At 46.0% G+C, this 16763-nt stretch overlaps 1 protein-coding gene across 3 annotated transcripts, besides 2 other annotated features; it reads left to right on the forward strand.

Moving 5' to 3' along the window:
- Positions 3942-4443: an enhancer, noted in NCBI's record as "H3K4me1 hESC enhancer chr12:7167609-7168110 (GRCh37/hg19 assembly coordinates)". NCBI's record gives its function as "activates a minimal SCP1, AML or CMV promoter by ChIP-STARR-seq in primed H9 embryonic stem cells {active_cell/tissue: H9 hESC(primed)}" and the evidence as "EXISTENCE:reporter gene assay evidence [ECO:0000049][PMID:30033119]".
- Positions 4355-14669, forward strand: C1S (complement C1s). Of its 3 annotated transcripts, none has more exons than NM_201442.4 (12): positions 4355-4514; positions 5389-5554; positions 6112-6319; positions 6527-6704; positions 7904-8029; positions 8737-8936; positions 9454-9607; positions 10155-10270; positions 10676-10754; positions 11280-11408; positions 12093-12167; positions 13492-14669. In NM_201442.4, exons 2-12 carry the CDS (start codon positions 5550-5552, stop codon positions 14286-14288), a joined length of 2067 nt encoding a protein of 688 aa, NP_958850.1. In that variant the 5' UTR covers positions 4355-4514; positions 5389-5549; the 3' UTR covers positions 14289-14669. The 3 variants fall into 3 exon arrangements, with proteins under 3 accessions (NP_958850.1, NP_001725.1, NP_001333779.1); NM_001734.5 differs by having other exon boundaries at positions 5476-5554; NM_001346850.2 differs by lacking the exon at positions 6112-6319.
- Positions 4444-4943: an enhancer, noted in NCBI's record as "H3K4me1 hESC enhancer chr12:7168111-7168610 (GRCh37/hg19 assembly coordinates)". NCBI's record gives its function as "activates a minimal SCP1, AML or CMV promoter by ChIP-STARR-seq in primed H9 embryonic stem cells {active_cell/tissue: H9 hESC(primed)}" and the evidence as "EXISTENCE:reporter gene assay evidence [ECO:0000049][PMID:30033119]".

Genomic DNA, 16763 nt, shown 5'->3' on the forward strand with positions numbered 1-16763 from the left:
GTTGTGGGGCTGGTGTTGCAATATTCTTGTGTCTCATTAACTTTCTGGAATTTTAAAAACAGACTCATGGAAGGTTTGCCTCAGAACTCAGTCTTTGAAGCCTTGGAGGAACTAACCTGTTCCAGCCCAGGCCGCAGCTTCGGAAGGGACCACAGCTCTGCCCAGGGATTGGAAACCCACTAGCTGGGATTAAACAGAACACAAATTGGAACTGATAGTTTTGTGACTTTAACATAGACACTTTGGGCTTCAATTACTTTTGACTTTAATGTCATAGTTTCAGTTTGCAATGGGATTTGAACTTTAATTTTGGAGTTTGATTAATGGGAGGGTTATTTGTTGTTCAAATTTGAAAATGGGAGGGTTATTTGTTGTTCAAAACCTTTATTGTTGGCAATCCCTTGTTGGAGCTTCTTAATACCATCATTTAATCTCATTGTGGATCTCCGATAGCTACTTAGATAACATGGCTGCATGAAATTTTATTTTATTTATTTTTGAGACAGGGTCTCACTCTGTTGCCCAGGCTGGAGTGCAGTGGTGTGATCATAGCTCATTGCAGCCTCAAAATCCTGGGCTCAAGTTATCCTCCTCCCTTGGCCTCCTGAGTAGCTGGGACTACAAGTGCGTGCCACTATGCCTGACTAATTTTTTGACTTTTTGTAGAGATGAAATCTTGCTATGTTCCCCAGGCTGGTCTTGAACTCCTGGCATCAAGTGATCCTCTCTTTTTGGTCTACCAAAGTGCTGGGATTACAGCACTTTGGCATGAGCCACTATGCCTGACCAATGAAATTTGAGGTGGGAAACGGAGCACCCAGGCTGAAGTGCAATGCTGTGGTCATAGCTCACTGCAGGCTTGAACTCCTGGGCTCAAGCAATCCTCCTGCCTCTCAGCCTCCTGAGTAGCTGGGACCACAGGATGGCTAATTTTTAAACTTTTTTGTAGAGATGAGGTCTCCCTATGTTGCCTAGGCTGGTCTTGAACTCCCAGCCTCAAGCGATCCTCCCGCCTCAGCCTTCTGAGTTGCTGGGATTACAGGTGTGAGCCACTGCTCCTGGCAATGTATTTCAATTTCGTGGCAAAATTGCAGAAATGAACATAAAACACAGGTGAGGATAGGAGAGTCTAACTTTTCTGGCAAGATCGGGCAGTGTTGAGCTCCAAGGAAAAGGAGAAGGAACCCTGGACACATTGATAAGGCGTCCTCTTTTCCTTGGTATTAACTGAAGCATGCTCTTGATGGGGAGGAAGCTGCTGCTACTGCTGCCGTGTTTGGTGTTTGGAGAAGTTAATATGGTTTGTTATTTGTTAAAAGCTTACTGAGTACCAGGTATATGCTGAATGCTTAGCATACGTTATTTTGTTTAATCTTGGCCACAATGGGCCCTGACAGTGATAGCTGTGTCTGAAGTAGGTGCTATTATTCCCATTTTACACCTGATAAAGCTGGAGCTCAGAGAGGCATAGTAACTTTTTCAAGGTCACACGGCTAAAATGAAAGGTAATGAATGGTTTGAATTCACTTTGGCACATTCAATCAACCAATCCTCAGATACTCACTGAGCGTGTTGTATCAGCCATTATTTTTAGTTGCAAGCAGTAGAAACCAACTCTGGCTGAGTTTAGCAGAAGATGAATTTATTAAAGGGACCCTGGATTGCTCATGGAAATTCCAGGGGAGCTACAGAGCCATTGTGGAAGCTTCCCAGCAGGGACAATGGTCAGAACCTGGCTGCCGCTGCTGCCACTTCTTTGACCATGGCCTGGATGCTTCGGCTTGCAATGCTTACCCACTGGGGCTGGATGCTGGGTGCTGCTGAGAACTCTACCTCCTCTGTGATCTTGCTGTGGCCACCACTGTCCCTACAGGCTCTAGGGTCCCTGCTTCCTGGCATTACTGGCTCTGGATTGAAAGCCTGGGCCTCTGATGAATGGAACGTGTGTGCATGTGAAACTGCCTTTGCAAAGATGATGACAGTGAGGGAAGTCTAGCATGGGTGACTCCATCTTGCCTCTACCCTCACAGGCTGGCTGTCCTCACTCATTCCTGGGCATAGGCCAAGCTAACCATGGGAGGAATTTAGTTTACAGTTTAACTCTGAAGCAAAGATGATATTAGTCCCTCCCTAAAATGAACCCCCTCCTAGCTCAGGGACCTGCCTTTGTAAAACTAATGAAAGGCCACAAGATTAGGATTATGGGAGGGGCTTGAATTTTGCTAAGATGTGGGTGTAGCTAACCGATGACCAGCCATTGACCCCTAGCTTGCCTTTCTATAATCCTTTGCTGCTCAGGAGTCATGCGGCCAGAGGTCACAAGATCTGTGACTTCCCCAATTGCTCCTATAGATAACATCACTATTGTAAAACCAAATATTGGTCTTCTGAGATATTTTTCAGACTTTTGCATTCTGAAATGATTCATGACTCAACTGGTCCTGTGACCCCCACCCAGAGGTGGACTTAGTGCACAAGGTCTGTTTTCTACACTCCTATGATTTTATCCCCAACGAATCAGTAGCACCCATTCTCTGCTCTTACCGCCCACCAAATTCTCCTTAAGAACCCTAGCCTCTGAGTTCTTGTGGGGACTGATTTGAGAAATAAACTCCCATCCTTTCACTTGGCTAGCTCTGTGTTGTTAAACTCTTTCTCTACTGCAATACCATGGTCTCAGTGAATTGGTTTTGTCTACGCAGCAGGCAGGAAGAACCCTTCGGGTGATTACAAATTAGCCTGCTCCAGAGCTGCTGGAGGTGGGGGTGACACACTTCTTGTGCCTGTGTCTTCTTTCTTGGGAGGTCGGCTCTGTTCCCAAGACTGATATCATGGGGAACTCCTCTAATGTGGCAAAGCAGTTTGAATGCTGGGCAGCCAGGGGAGTCACAGATGGTTGCATACACATCTGTGTTCTGCATGACACTGCTAGACATGGCGGACAATACCAAGACGGATCAGACCCAGCACCTGTCTTCCGAGACCTTACGGGCTCATGATTCTCTTCCTTTTAACATGCACATTTATTAGGTACCATAGTGTGCAAAGCTTGTTCACTCGAATTATTTCATTAGGTCCATCTGATAGTCATGTAGGGTAGGCAGAACTGATAGGATTTCTGTTTTATATTTGAAGAAACTAGGTCTGTCAATAGTGAGCCAGGTTTAAAAAAAAAAAGAAACTAGGAAGTTAGGTGATGAGCCTAAGACATCACCACTGGTGAGGAGCAGAGCTGGGACATGAGCCTATCTTCTGACTCCAGGCCCAGTGCTAAGCCAACTAAAGGGGCATAAAGGGGAGCTGAGATCAGGGAAGGCTCTGTGGAGTGGCACTGCCCCTCAGTCCCTTGTCTGCAATTCTAAAATCCAAAGGACTCTGAAAACAAAGTCTCTGTCTTTTTTTTGTAATGGGATCTCATTCTGTTGCCCAGGCTGGAGTGCAGTGGTGCCCTCTGCAGCCTCGACCTCCCTGGCACAAGTGATCCTCTTGCCTCAGCCTCCTGAGTAGCTGGGACTACAGGCGTGTGTCACAATACCTGGCTATTGTTTTTTGTTTGTTTGTTTTCAAGTTTGGGACTAAAACTCAATTTGGCAGCAAAACCTGACCCGAACTGATGTGATTTGTAATCTTTAGTTATCCATTTACCGTAAGATCAATGTGTTTAGCTGCAGAAATCTTAATGTTTGTTAATAGGGGGTTATCCTGGTCCATAAAGGGAGGGAGAGGAGGAGGTGTTACCTAATATTGGGTCCATGGACTACATAGCCTAAAAAAATCTATAAAATTTCAAAACACACCTGGCTTCAAGGGTTATGGATAAGGGAGTCTGGGTTGGATCTGAAAGGGGGCTTGGTTGTGGGGTAGAATTTCGATGTTTGGAAGGGATGTGGAGGGATGTTATGAAGAGGAAGCCTCACGCCATACCACCTTGGGTCTTGGTGTTAAGTCATTATCAACCATTACATTTGCTTTAAAGCAGAGATGACTTACATTTCTGATAACTACTTTCCCTTAATTCATGATTCACACACATTTGGAGGGCTGGACTTTCTGGGTTTGGTTATTTCCCCTGGTACCAATCCCCGCCTTTTCCCAGAAATCACTTGACTTTCCCGAAAACTCAGAAACACACCCTTTGGCTGAAAAATAGCATTAAGCAATCGGTGAAATTCCCCATTCCTCCTTTCCCCGCTGGAGCCCTGGATAGAGGGCTCTCTGGCCTGGGAGGAGGACGCTGTCCTTGTTTCAAAAGCAGAGGGAGCTCCAAGATCAAGGCTGAGTTTCCCTAAGTCATGGTCTCCCAGCCCCCTCTGTTTAGATCAGGGAATTTCAGACATGCACACTCGGGTAGGGAATCTTATGAACAGAACCAGGACAGGGAGGCTGGCCGGAGGTTCCTGCAGAGGGAGCGTCAAGGCCCTGTGCTGCTGTCCCTGGGGGCCAGAGGGGTTGCCCAGCATGCCCACTGGCAGGAGAGAGGGAACTGACCCACTTGCTCCTACCAGCTTCTGAAGGTAAAATCCTTACAAACGAGGAGCAGAGCTTTGATGGAGGAAAAAGGAAAGGCAGAAAACTTCACGTAGGAGGGCTTGGGGCAATGATAGAGGGCTGACAAAGGCAGCATAAAAAAAGGCAGAATATAGACAACCTATTTCTCTTAGGCTCACCCCATCCACCCCTACTTCACCCCCTTACCTACCACTGTTTTCAGGGTTAAAGCAATTTTAGCAACCCTTTACTAGGAACTGTGGGGAGATAGCTTGTATTTTCAGTAAGTTGGCGGTGGGGGGCAGGGACAAACTCCAAACAAACTCTGGAAAACGAATGTAGGAAGTTTTTATGTTCCTTGTCATTTGGCTGTCCCTTTTCTCCTTCCTCGCACAACCCTGTATCAGTGGGGCAGCACTTCCTTCTCAGACCGCTTGTCCCAGGGTCCCTGCCTTCCCCTAGTGAAAGAAGCTCCTGCCTCCATCGGTGGGCGTTGGGAGCATCAGCGGAGATGCACGCAATGATAAACAGCAGACAGGGCTGCTTGAGGAGATGAGGTGATCACGGTTAAAGAAGAGGGGCTGTCCTACATGGATGATCATGATGCGCCAAGACTGTTGAAAACCTGAGTGGAAATGGGAGCATCGTTCTTGAGGGCAGGAGAGAGACTGATACCGCGGGGGTGGGGCTGGTGGAGGACAATAGAGGAAGAAGAAAACTGGGAGAAAGTACTCGATTCCTTTGGAGAAAAATTAGGAGAAAGTCTAGAGAAGCAATGAGGGAAGGATACAATTTAGCTATAGTCTAGAAAGTTAGTCGAAGTTAACTAGGGAGGGTGTGAGGGGCACGGTGCCATGTGGGGATGTTGGTGATATGGCCCTGTGTGTTATACCTTTGAAGGTGACACTGAGCCCCAGGTGACGCCGCACCACCAAAGAAGGTGCTTGTGTTTGTCAGACAAATACAGCCAGGCCTGCCACCCCTTAGGCTCCAAAGTCCGGAGGTGCAGAAAGCCAGGACCAAGAGACAGGCAGCTCACCAGGGTGGACAAATCGCCAGAGATGTGGTAAGTGATCAAGGGTCCCTGAGATGACACAGACTCCATTCCCTTCATCTTCTCAAGAAAAGCGCTCAAGGGCCAGGCATGATGGCTCACACCTGTAACCCCAGCACTTTGGGAGGCTGAGGCGGGAGGATTGCTTGAGCCCAGGACTTTGAGACCAGCCTGGGCAACATAAGGAGACCCTGTCTCTATTAAAAAAAAAAAAAATTAGCCCAGCGTCATGCGTGTCACCTGTGGTCCCTGCTACTCAAAAGGCTGAGGTGGTAGAATCACTTGAGCGCGGGAGGTCAAGGCTGCAGTGACCTGAGATCGCACCACTGCACTCCAGCCTGGGTGACAGAGTGAGAACCTGTCTCAAAAAAAAAAAAAAAAGGGCTCTTGTCTGAAGCCTGGGTTTTGGTTTGACCTGGGCCTTTTCTTTATTCCGACCTAAGATTCTCCCCCATGGCCGATTGACTGCCTCTCTTCTTCCCCCTTTCTTCTGCCTCTGGCAAATAGCGCGTTCTGTCCTAGGCTACTGGTGCCTGGTCACCCGCCAATCTATGCCTCTGTTTTTTCAGGTGCATTGTCCTGTTTTCACTTTTGGCATGGGTTTATGCTGAGCCTACCATGTATGGGGAGATCCTGTCCCCTAACTATCCTCAGGCATATCCCAGTGAGGTAGAGAAATCTTGGGACATAGAAGTTCCTGAAGGGTATGGGATTCACCTCTACTTCACCCATCTGGACATTGAGCTGTCAGAGAACTGTGCGTATGACTCAGTGCAGGTATGTTATAAGCACAAAAAGAATAGAGATGGAAGACTAGGGCTAAGGTAGCGGAATAAGGATGTGGGAGGGAGTGCCACCTGTACTCACAGTGAACTGGAGTCAAGTCCTAGTGGCATAAATGTTCTATTCTCTCTGTCCCTTCTTTTAACTCCATACCAAAATATTACCCTTTCCTAGATTTTTTTTTTGTGACTCTTCTCTTAGATAATCTCAGGAGACACTGAAGAAGGGAGGCTCTGTGGACAGAGGAGCAGTAACAATCCCCACTCTCCAATTGTGGAAGAGTTCCAAGTCCCATACAACAAACTCCAGGTGATCTTTAAGTCAGACTTTTCCAATGAAGAGCGTTTTACGGGGTTTGCTGCATACTATGTTGCCACAGGTAAGGCTCACCCTTCTGCATGTGCCTTATTGACCCAGCTAAAAGATTAGAAATGAGAAATCCACTGAGCAACACATTGAATGAGGATTCTGTTCGTAATTCTTATAAAAAGTGTTGACTTGGCCTGGGTCGCTCCATAAATCACTTTTGTGAAATTCAAATGCATGATCATATCTTAGTGGTGATGATGATCATGGTAATAACACATAGTACATAATAAACAGCAATTTGTTGAGAGCCACTATAAACTGGGTATGTATTGGGGATTGGGGATTTTTCCTATTTTAACACAATCGTCACTTTAATCCTTCAAGGTAGGTATTATTTGCTCCATATAAAGATGAAGAAAATAAGGACTAGGAAAGTTAATAACTTGCCAAGAATCACACAAGGAATGTGTAGTATTTAAACCCATTCAATATATGGCATTCAAACCTTCAAATTCTGGGTACTTCTGTATCTCTCTCTAGGTTAAAATGAAGCTAGGACATCTCATAAAGCCAAACTATTGTTTAGATTTGACAGAAGGACCAACATCATATAAAGCAATGAATGTACTGATTCCTCCCTGCAGAAGGCATCGTCATGATGTTTACCTTGCAGAGTGTCATTCCTGGAGCTGAAATGCTCTGTACATGAGAAAAGTCAAGGATCTCTGACATTAAGAGCTGCCTAGGCCGGGCATGGTAGCTCACACCTGTAATCCCAGCACTTTGGGAGGCTGAGGCAGGTGGATTACCGGAGCCCAGGAGTTCAAGACCAGCCTGGCCAACATGGTGAAACCCTGTCTCTACTAAAAATATGAAAAATTAACCAGGCATAGTGGTGGTGCGTGCTTGTGTTCCCAGCTCCTCGGGAGGTAGAGGCGTGAGACTTGTTTGAACTTGCTTGAAAATGTGGAGGTTGCAGTGAGCCAAGATCCCACCACTGCACTCCAGCCTCGGTGACAGAGTGAGGCTATGTCACTTACACACACACACCCCCGAGCTTCCTTATAGCTGTGTAGTGGTAGGGCTCAACTCTGGAATCATATGTCAGGAGAGTAATATGGAATAATAGTAGCCTGAAATGTGATCCCTTGACGGATCTTTAAGCAATAGGCCTTTCCTACTTTTTCTTACCCTTATGGTTTTGGATTTAACCTCATTCTCCCTTCTTGGTGTTTGTTCTTGACCTCAGCCTCTTTCTACTCTTTGTAGACATAAATGAATGCACAGATTTTGTAGATGTCCCTTGTAGCCACTTCTGCAACAATTTCATTGGTGGTTACTTCTGCTCCTGCCCCCCGGAATATTTCCTCCATGATGACATGAAGAATTGCGGAGGTGAGCTTGGTGTTAAGAGGGTTGCATGTTCCCTGGGATTTGGAATGGCTGAGGCCTCAGAAAGGGCTTTGTCCACCCTTCCAACTTCGATTAGGCCAAGCCTTCATTTGGCACTTCTTTTTTATTTTAGAATTTATTTATTTATGTATTATTTTTAATAATTTCAATAGTTTTGGGGGTACTGGTGTTTTTGGTTACATGGATGAGTTCCTTAGTGGTCAATTCTGAGATTTTAGTGCACTTGTTACTTGAGCGGTGTACACTATACCCAGTGTGTAGTTTTCTCGCCCCTGTTTCAACCTCCTCCCACGTTGAGTCCCCAGAGTCCATTATATCACTCTGTATTGGCATCTATTCTTAGTTACTCATAAGCTGAGATGAAGCCACAAGAAGGAGGAAGATAAGACTATAGGGTAAAGTTAGTTAATTGGATAAGAGAGATAGATGCCTGTAAAGGGTCTACTGGGGGCTGTTCATAACCAGAAAGGCTCCATCCTAAGCAAAGTGATGGAAACCTAATAGGGATTGGGTATTCCTACTGATACGTATTGCACGTGTAATTGCTCTATCCCTCCAGTTAGGGCAGGGATCTCAGGTTAGTTTGAATGCAGGACTGTCAGTTTCTGAGAGAAGGAATCATAGAATAGTGCAGGAATTCCTTTGCTTGACCCTGTATTTGATTCTCCCTTTCTCTTTTTCTCTGTTAGTTAATTGCAGTGGGGATGTATTCACTGCACTGATTGGGGAGATTGCAAGTCCCAATTATCCCAAACCATATCCAGAGAACTCAAGGTGTGAATACCAGATCCGGTTGGAGAAAGGGTTCCAAGTGGTGGTGACCTTGCGGAGAGAAGATTTTGATGTGGAAGCAGCTGACTCAGCGGGAAACTGCCTTGACAGTTTAGTTGTGCGTGATGGTTGATTAATACCCCACCCTTAACTTACACAGAGAGATCTCTCCCTGAAGACAAATTTTTTTTTCATACAGCATCTTTCTCTGTTGCTCAAGCTGGAGTGCAGTGGTGCAATCACAGCTCACTGTAGCCTTGATCTCTTGGGCTCAAGCAAGCGTCCCACCTCAGCCTCCTGAGTAGCTGGGCCCACAGACGTGTGTCATCAAACCCAGCTAATATTTTTATTGTTATTCTTTTTTTTTTTACAGAGATGGGGTTTTGCTATGTTGCTCAGGATAGCCTGAAACTCCTAGCCTCAAGCAATGCTCCCACCTCGGCCTCCCAAAGTGCTGGGATTATAGGTGTGAGCCACTGCACTCAGCCTGAAGATAAAATTATCTTTTCTCCTGACCCTTATTTTCTTCTTATTTTATGTGACATTTAATGCCTCTTTTATTTGTATCTCCCACTTCCCAATTTTACCTCTTCCCTTTAGTTCTTTCCCTCTTCTGATTTCATCATTTTGTTCAGTTTGTTGCAGGAGATCGGCAATTTGGTCCTTACTGTGGTCATGGATTCCCTGGGCCTCTAAATATTGAAACCAAGAGTAATGCTCTTGATATCATCTTCCAAACTGATCTAACAGGGCAAAAAAAGGGCTGGAAACTTCGCTATCATGGAGATCGTGAGTAACTTAGAAGTGCCTCTTTGGTTGGTGATACCAAAGTCCCCAAACAATGTGGGATCAAAGCAGGTAGATGATCCAGGCACACTGGAAGCACCTGTGATCTCAGCTACCGAGGGAGGCTGAGGCAGGAGGATCCCTTGAGCCCAGGAAGTAGGAGTTTGAGTCCACTCTGGGCAACAGAGCAAAACCTTGTCTCTAAAACAAAACAAAAACAAAGCAACAATAATTTAAAAAACAGATAGATTGTTGTTCTGATAGAATCCTGAGATACTTCACTTCTTCAGGAAAATCTAAACCAGTCAACGGTTGCTAGAAATGCCTCAACCTCTAGTAATCCTTTAACTAGACCTGAGACTGCAGACAGCTTGCGGGTGGTTAGTTGGTAATGCCATATGATTTTAGACATCTGCTGTATTGGAATGTTAAGCATCAGGATTGAGGACAACTGGACGATTTTAGAAAGTGTGAGAATGATGTAAATAGAATGAGAGTCTTCAACTATTTAGTAATTTTTTCCTCCTGTCCCAACTTCTGTTCTTTCAAGCAATGCCCTGCCCTAAGGAAGACACTCCCAATTCTGTTTGGGAGCCTGCGAAGGCAAAATATGTCTTTAGAGATGTGGTGCAGATAACCTGTCTGGATGGGTTTGAAGTTGTGGAGGTAAAGTACCACCTTGGCTTCTCCCCAGTCCCTGGCCCCAGATCAGGATGAGCGGACTGAAATTGTCCAGTTGTTTACCCAATGTATGTGTGTGATCAAGGTATAACACCTTTCCCATAAACACAACAGCTTAAGATCTGTAGTTCTCCCTTGTGAGTCATGGAGCTGCCTGGCCAGCTTGGCATTCTCTCTGCCTTCAGTCTTCTTGAGGAAGGGGAGTTGACACGTTGGGGCAAAGCTTTCTGTCAGCCTCATCTCCTGGGTGCTTTAGGTCTGCTAAGATGTTCCCAAGCTTCTTGTGGTGAGGACTCCTCATTGATCCAAGGCCAGAGATCAATTCCAGTTTTGATTTTGGTTTCCCATATCTCTCTTCAGAAATAAGTGGTGATGTTTATTATTCTCCAGGGACGTGTTGGTGCAACATCTTTCTATTCGACTTGTCAAAGCAATGGAAAGTGGAGTAATTCCAAACTGAAATGTCAACGTATGTGTCTCTTCAAAGTGGAAGTCTTTCTTTTTCTCTCAGAGAGAATGGAAAGATCAGCACATCAAAATTCAAATGCATGGTTTCCTCTTAGGCATGTGAGGGAGTGGGTTGGGTTTTTGAAGGGAAGCCAGTCATGGAAGCTTTTCTAGTCCCAGCCCCGCATCTGGTCCCAGGCCAACTAGATCGGCATGTTTCTTTCCAAGAAAGGGGCTATGGGATAGGTCGAGTTAGTAGCCCCACGTGGGTGCATTTGTGGCTTCCACTGGGCCTTCACCAACCACTGAGAACCAGGCTCTTCACTACGGCTTTCATGGGGCCATCTGAATTGGCATCTCAGCGGGTGAGAGAGCTGAGAGATGCCAGTTGGGGAGGATGGCCACAGAGAGGCTGGTGTGGGGAGGTTCATCCCAGGTGTGCCTGTGGATATGGGGTGGGGAAGCAGTGAGGATGAACCTGGCCCCATGACTCTTCCTTGGAGGAAGTGGCTGTCCTGACCATCGCTCTCCTTCCTTCGTCTGGTAGCTGTGGACTGTGGCATTCCTGAATCCATTGAGAATGGTAAAGTTGAAGACCCAGAGAGCACTTTGTTTGGTTCTGTCATCCGCTACACTTGTGAGGAGCCATATTACTACATGGAAAATGGAGGAGGTGGTAGGTTTCTTCTACTGGAGAAGAGAGAGAGAGAGTGAGAAGGTGTTGGAGGGTGGATAGCATAATCTGTGCCAGAGACAGAGTTTGGAGACAAATGAAGGCGATAGGACAGACATTGTTCATCCCCTTGGCTTCGTCCAAAGATACAGTTTTCATCTGGAGCAGGGCAAGTTCAGGGGAGCATCAGCCTCAGGGAATCATAGAGGTCACCAACTGAGTTCACAGCTGCAGCAGGAATTCCCCTACAACATCCATTTCATGGGATTACCCACCTTTTGACCAGTTATTTCATGTAAAACCCACAGGAGCAATGCCTTCAGCTTTAAGCCACCAAACTACACTGACTGGCTTTCTTGATGTAGAGGCTTTGGTCATGCTAGGTGCAGGGCTGAATGAGACCCTAATACGTTCTCTGCATTGCTCTGTATTTATTTCGCCACTTTCCCGATGCCTTCTTTCCTTCTGCTTTGGAGATGTTCCCTTTGTCTCCCTGGCAGGCTAGAGGCCTGAGGGATTGTTTGGAGGAAGATATTTTTTTTCTGGCTGATTTAATCTGATTTACTACTTGAATCCTAGACGAGCTGAGGTTCTGAAGGAACGGGGCAGGGTGTTGGGGTCGGAGGGGGGAATGGAAGAAGGAAGATGTGGTGGTGAGTGTGGCCTGTGTTCTCTGTGCTATTCCAGGGGAGTATCACTGTGCTGGTAACGGGAGCTGGGTGAATGAGGTGCTGGGCCCGGAGCTGCCGAAATGTGTTCCAGGTAAGGAGGGCTGAGGCTTGGGGAGAGATGATAGCCATGGGTGACTGGGAGTCACCTTCTGAAAGCAACTGTAATCCTCTTGGGAAAGGACTGAACAGTGACCTGCCAGAGTCCAGCTCAGTGAGGTGGCAGTATCACTGTGCCGTGGGCTGCCAGGGCCGTGGGGAACCTCCTCAGCCGCACTGAAGCCAGGCCAACTGGAAGGAAATAGAAACGTCAGCCAGCGACAGTTGGTGTCTGGTAATGTAGCTGCAGTGAGAAGATACAGAACTGCTAAAAACAGGGCCTGAAAGCTGAGAGTGTGTGAGTAATCAACACTCAGAAACAAGTCTAGCTAAATAGCCTAGTTATTATATTAAAAGTTTATAGGGCAGCAAGATATAGAGGAATTCAAAGAATGAGGAAGATAAGAGTTGGGTAGCAGAAGGCTGAGGCAAATCCAATAGGATAATAACCATCCTGGGTGGTACTGAAAGCTGAAGACTGAGCTGATTTGTTGCATTTATTATCTCATTCGTGTCCGTATAACAGCCCTGTGAGCTAGGTGTCATTGGTCTTATCTGACCAATGTCAAATGTGAATGGGTGGGGTGCAAGTTCACAGAGTTAGCAAGTGGCAAAGGCAGGCTTTGAGCCCAGGTCTGTCTAAGTTCACAGCCCATTGTGCTCAACTTGGAGTCCCTCCAGGCTGTCTAGTAAGGGATTTAAGTAAGCAGCTTCACTTGAATTCAGTTATTAGTATAACTGAATGGTAATGGCACCAGTCACTGGGAGTGAGAGGTCAGGGCCAAAGAAGGGACCCCTCTCTACTTCCTAGGCTGACCTGTGGTTTACTAGGAGGGACTCAGGTGCAACTAGGACTCCAGTAAAGAAGGTGATTAAAGTTTGATCTGGGCATCTGAAGAAGGCAGAAATCTTTCCTCCTCCACCATCTGTGTGAGAAAAGGGTTTCCAGCACTGGCTCTTGATTGGGCACCGGCCTCATGTGCCGAGTTGGGAGGTGCAAAGGGGACCCCTGCCTCCAGGGGGGCTGTGGGTCGCACTGTGGATAGTGTGAGGCATTAGTGCATCTGGACTCAGTGATTCACACACTGCCTCCGTTTAACTGAGCTCTCCCATGAGCCAGCTTATGACATCGGCAAAGCGGGATGTTTAGGTAAGGCCAGAGTGGGTCAGGTATTGAGATTGTTGACCAAATAGGGTTGACTATTTTGTACTAGAGAATCCTGCAACCTAGCAGGTAACATTATGTGAGTGGTTGGAGGATTTGCAGGAAGCCAGCATCATTTCTTCCTCCTTCCCTGTGTTGTTTTATTCCTTCCTAGTCTGTGGAGTCCCCAGAGAACCCTTTGAAGAAAAACAGAGGATAATTGGAGGATCCGATGCAGATATTAAAAACTTCCCCTGGCAAGTCTTCTTTGACAACCCATGGGCTGGTGGAGCGCTCATTAATGAGTACTGGGTGCTGACGGCTGCTCATGTTGTGGAGGGAAACAGGGAGCCAACAATGTATGTTGGGTCCACCTCAGTGCAGACCTCACGGCTGGCAAAATCCAAGATGCTCACTCCTGAGCATGTGTTTATTCATCCGGGATGGAAGCTGCTGGAAGTCCCAGAAGGACGAACCAATTTTGATAATGACATTGCACTGGTGCGGCTGAAAGACCCAGTGAAAATGGGACCCACCGTCTCTCCCATCTGCCTACCAGGCACCTCTTCCGACTACAACCTCATGGATGGGGACCTGGGACTGATCTCAGGCTGGGGCCGAACAGAGAAGAGAGATCGTGCTGTTCGCCTCAAGGCGGCAAGGTTACCTGTAGCTCCTTTAAGAAAATGCAAAGAAGTGAAAGTGGAGAAACCCACAGCAGATGCAGAGGCCTATGTTTTCACTCCTAACATGATCTGTGCTGGAGGAGAGAAGGGCATGGATAGCTGTAAAGGGGACAGTGGTGGGGCCTTTGCTGTACAGGATCCCAATGACAAGACCAAATTCTACGCAGCTGGCCTGGTGTCCTGGGGGCCCCAGTGTGGGACCTATGGGCTCTACACACGGGTAAAGAACTATGTTGACTGGATAATGAAGACTATGCAGGAAAATAGCACCCCCCGTGAGGACTAATCCAGATACATCCCACCAGCCTCTCCAAGGGTGGTGACCAATGCATTACCTTCTGTTCCTTATGATATTCTCATTATTTCATCATGACTGAAAGAAGACACGAGCGAATGATTTAAATAGAACTTGATTGTTGAGACGCCTTGCTAGAGGTAGAGTTTGATCATAGAATTGTGCTGGTCATACATTTGTGGTCTGACTCCTTGGGGTCCTTTCCCCGGAGTACCTATTGTAGATAACACTATGGGTGGGGCACTCCTTTCTTGCACTATTCCACAGGGATACCTTAATTCTTTGTTTCCTCTTTACCTGTTCAAAATTCCATTTACTTGATCATTCTCAGTATCCACTGTCTATGTACAATAAAGGATGTTTATAAGCAAATTTTGTGTGACTTACCTCATTCCACACCAAACCCTCAGAATTATAGAAGGGGAATGGGATGAGAAGGCTGTTATGTCACTGAAATTGGGCATCCAGCAACTAATATTTAATTTAATTGTCACGAAAACAGGGAATTCAGCTTTTCTTCTCTCTTCCAAATGAGATTTACTGAATATTGTGGGTTAGTATGAAGATCGCCAGTGTAAGGCATCACATTCTGCTTTTGAAACTCATTAATATTTACCTGGCCAAAAAAAAAAAAAAAAAAAAAAGAAGAAAAGAAAAATAAGAAAAAAAAGAAGCTCATTAAATGTCATGTGGTGCGTGGCTCACACCTGTGATCCCAACACTTTGGGAGGCAGGGGTGGGAGGATTGCTTGAGCCCAGGGATTCAAGACCAGTGTGAGCAACATAGGGAGACCCTGTCTCTACAAAAATAAAAAATAAAAATTAGCTAGGCATGATGGTGCGTGCCTTAGTCCCAGCTACTCAGGAGGCTGAGTTGGGAGGATCGCTTGAGCCCAGGAGGTCAAGGTTGCAGTGATCATGCCACTGTACTCCAGCCTGGGCAACCAGAGTGAGACATTATCTGGAACAAAGCAAAATAAAAAAACCCCACCTCATTCAGAAATCCATGTACAATAGTTTGAGTTGGCTGTTTAAGATCTTCTTTAAGTAGAAATTGTTTCAATATGTGAACGGAAAGTTAATTTTCCTCTAATACTCATTGTATCATGCAATATTATGACAACAAAAAAGAAAAACTAAAGAAATTGAGCATGCTCTTGTCTGCTTTCCTGGTGGTTTTAATCAATTTGTGACAATGTTTTCATTAGACTGAACTCTGTACCAAGATGACATAGCAGAAAATCTCGGTAAGGATGGACCCCAAAACTCTCCCTTCTATTTTCTAGGGGAAGGAAAAGAAAAGATTCCTCTTCCAAAAGAATGATTAGTGATGAGAAATGACTACAGAATAGAGACTTAGCATTTTAAAAACTGAGGACAGGACAACTATCTTAGGACAGCGGTTGCCCTAACAGGGCGTCTTAGGAAAGCGGAGGTCTGAGAGGAAGAGCTGAGGGGGAATCTGACCTATTTGATGTGACACGTGGCTTTCAGGAGGGCAGTTTTTACTAGAAGCCAAAAAAGGTTGGTTTGGGCCCATCAAGAATGGACTTTGATATTCCATAGACCAAGAGGGCTAAATTCAACAGTTGACCTTAGACCGCAGGGTAAACGTGATGAGGTAACCAGAGGAACTCTAATTGAAGGGCCTGAAGAATTGAAGGGAATTACAACAGGGAGTCCCTGGGAGGATTATATGGTCAACCAAGCAGCATAAAGTCACTGTGTCACTCCTGAACTGTATGCCTCATAGCCACCTCCTCACCCTTCCTGTCATTGCAGGAGCAATGGAGTTGACAGTGTGCCCTGGGTGAGAGTGTTTCCGTGAGAGGAGGATTCTTCTAGAGATAAAAAGGCATTGGAGGAATATTAAGATTTAGAAACATGGTCTGTGAAAGGGATATTGTTCTTCTTTTTTTATACTTGGGGCAATAGCAAAAAATTAACCTGGAATCTGACAAGTAACAGAAAAAGGAAGTTCATCCCTCTCGGAGAATCACCAGTCTATTTGGGTTCTGCCCTTGCTGATGGGCTGAGGTATTGGTGAAGAATTTCCCTCTTTGCTGCCACCTTGTACGGCATGACGGGAATGGGCTTTGCATCGTTGACTGTGCTGCAAGGTCATTTCTCTGGGTGAATGGCAGGGAGAAGACCTAAATGAATCATGATCAGAGACTTCAGAGCTGGGAAGAGCTTGTCATCAGGTCCTAGAGGGGCTAGAAAGTCATTCATTGTGTTTAAAGGGTATCCATCGTAGTACCTTGCAAGTTACTTGGGAACATATGTCCGCTTCATCTGAAACTCAGGAAAAGAGTTAGCTTTTTGAAGAAGGTGAATTGTCACTTTTCTTTGGTCAGAAGAAAATGGACTGGTGGGTCAGCAACTCATGCCAGGGAGGAAAGACAATGTCCGGTGGTCAAGAGGGCTTGAACCTACTTGAAACTGGACCAGCCCAGAAGGGGCTAG

This window comes from Homo sapiens, chromosome 12 (genome assembly GCF_000001405.40).
Source record: "Homo sapiens chromosome 12, GRCh38.p14 Primary Assembly".
Classification (NCBI taxonomy): domain Eukaryota; kingdom Metazoa; phylum Chordata; class Mammalia; order Primates; family Hominidae; genus Homo; species Homo sapiens.

Coding starts and splice junctions, on each gene's coding strand:
- C1S (NM_201442.4), top strand. Junction 8,937..9,453: donor ACTGCCTTGACAGTTTAGTT/GTGCGTGATGGT, acceptor CATTTTGTTCAG/TTTGTTGCAGGAGATCGGCA. Junction 11,409..12,092: donor CATGGAAAATGGAGGAGGTG/GTAGGTTTCTTC, acceptor GTGCTATTCCAG/GGGAGTATCACTGTGCTGGT.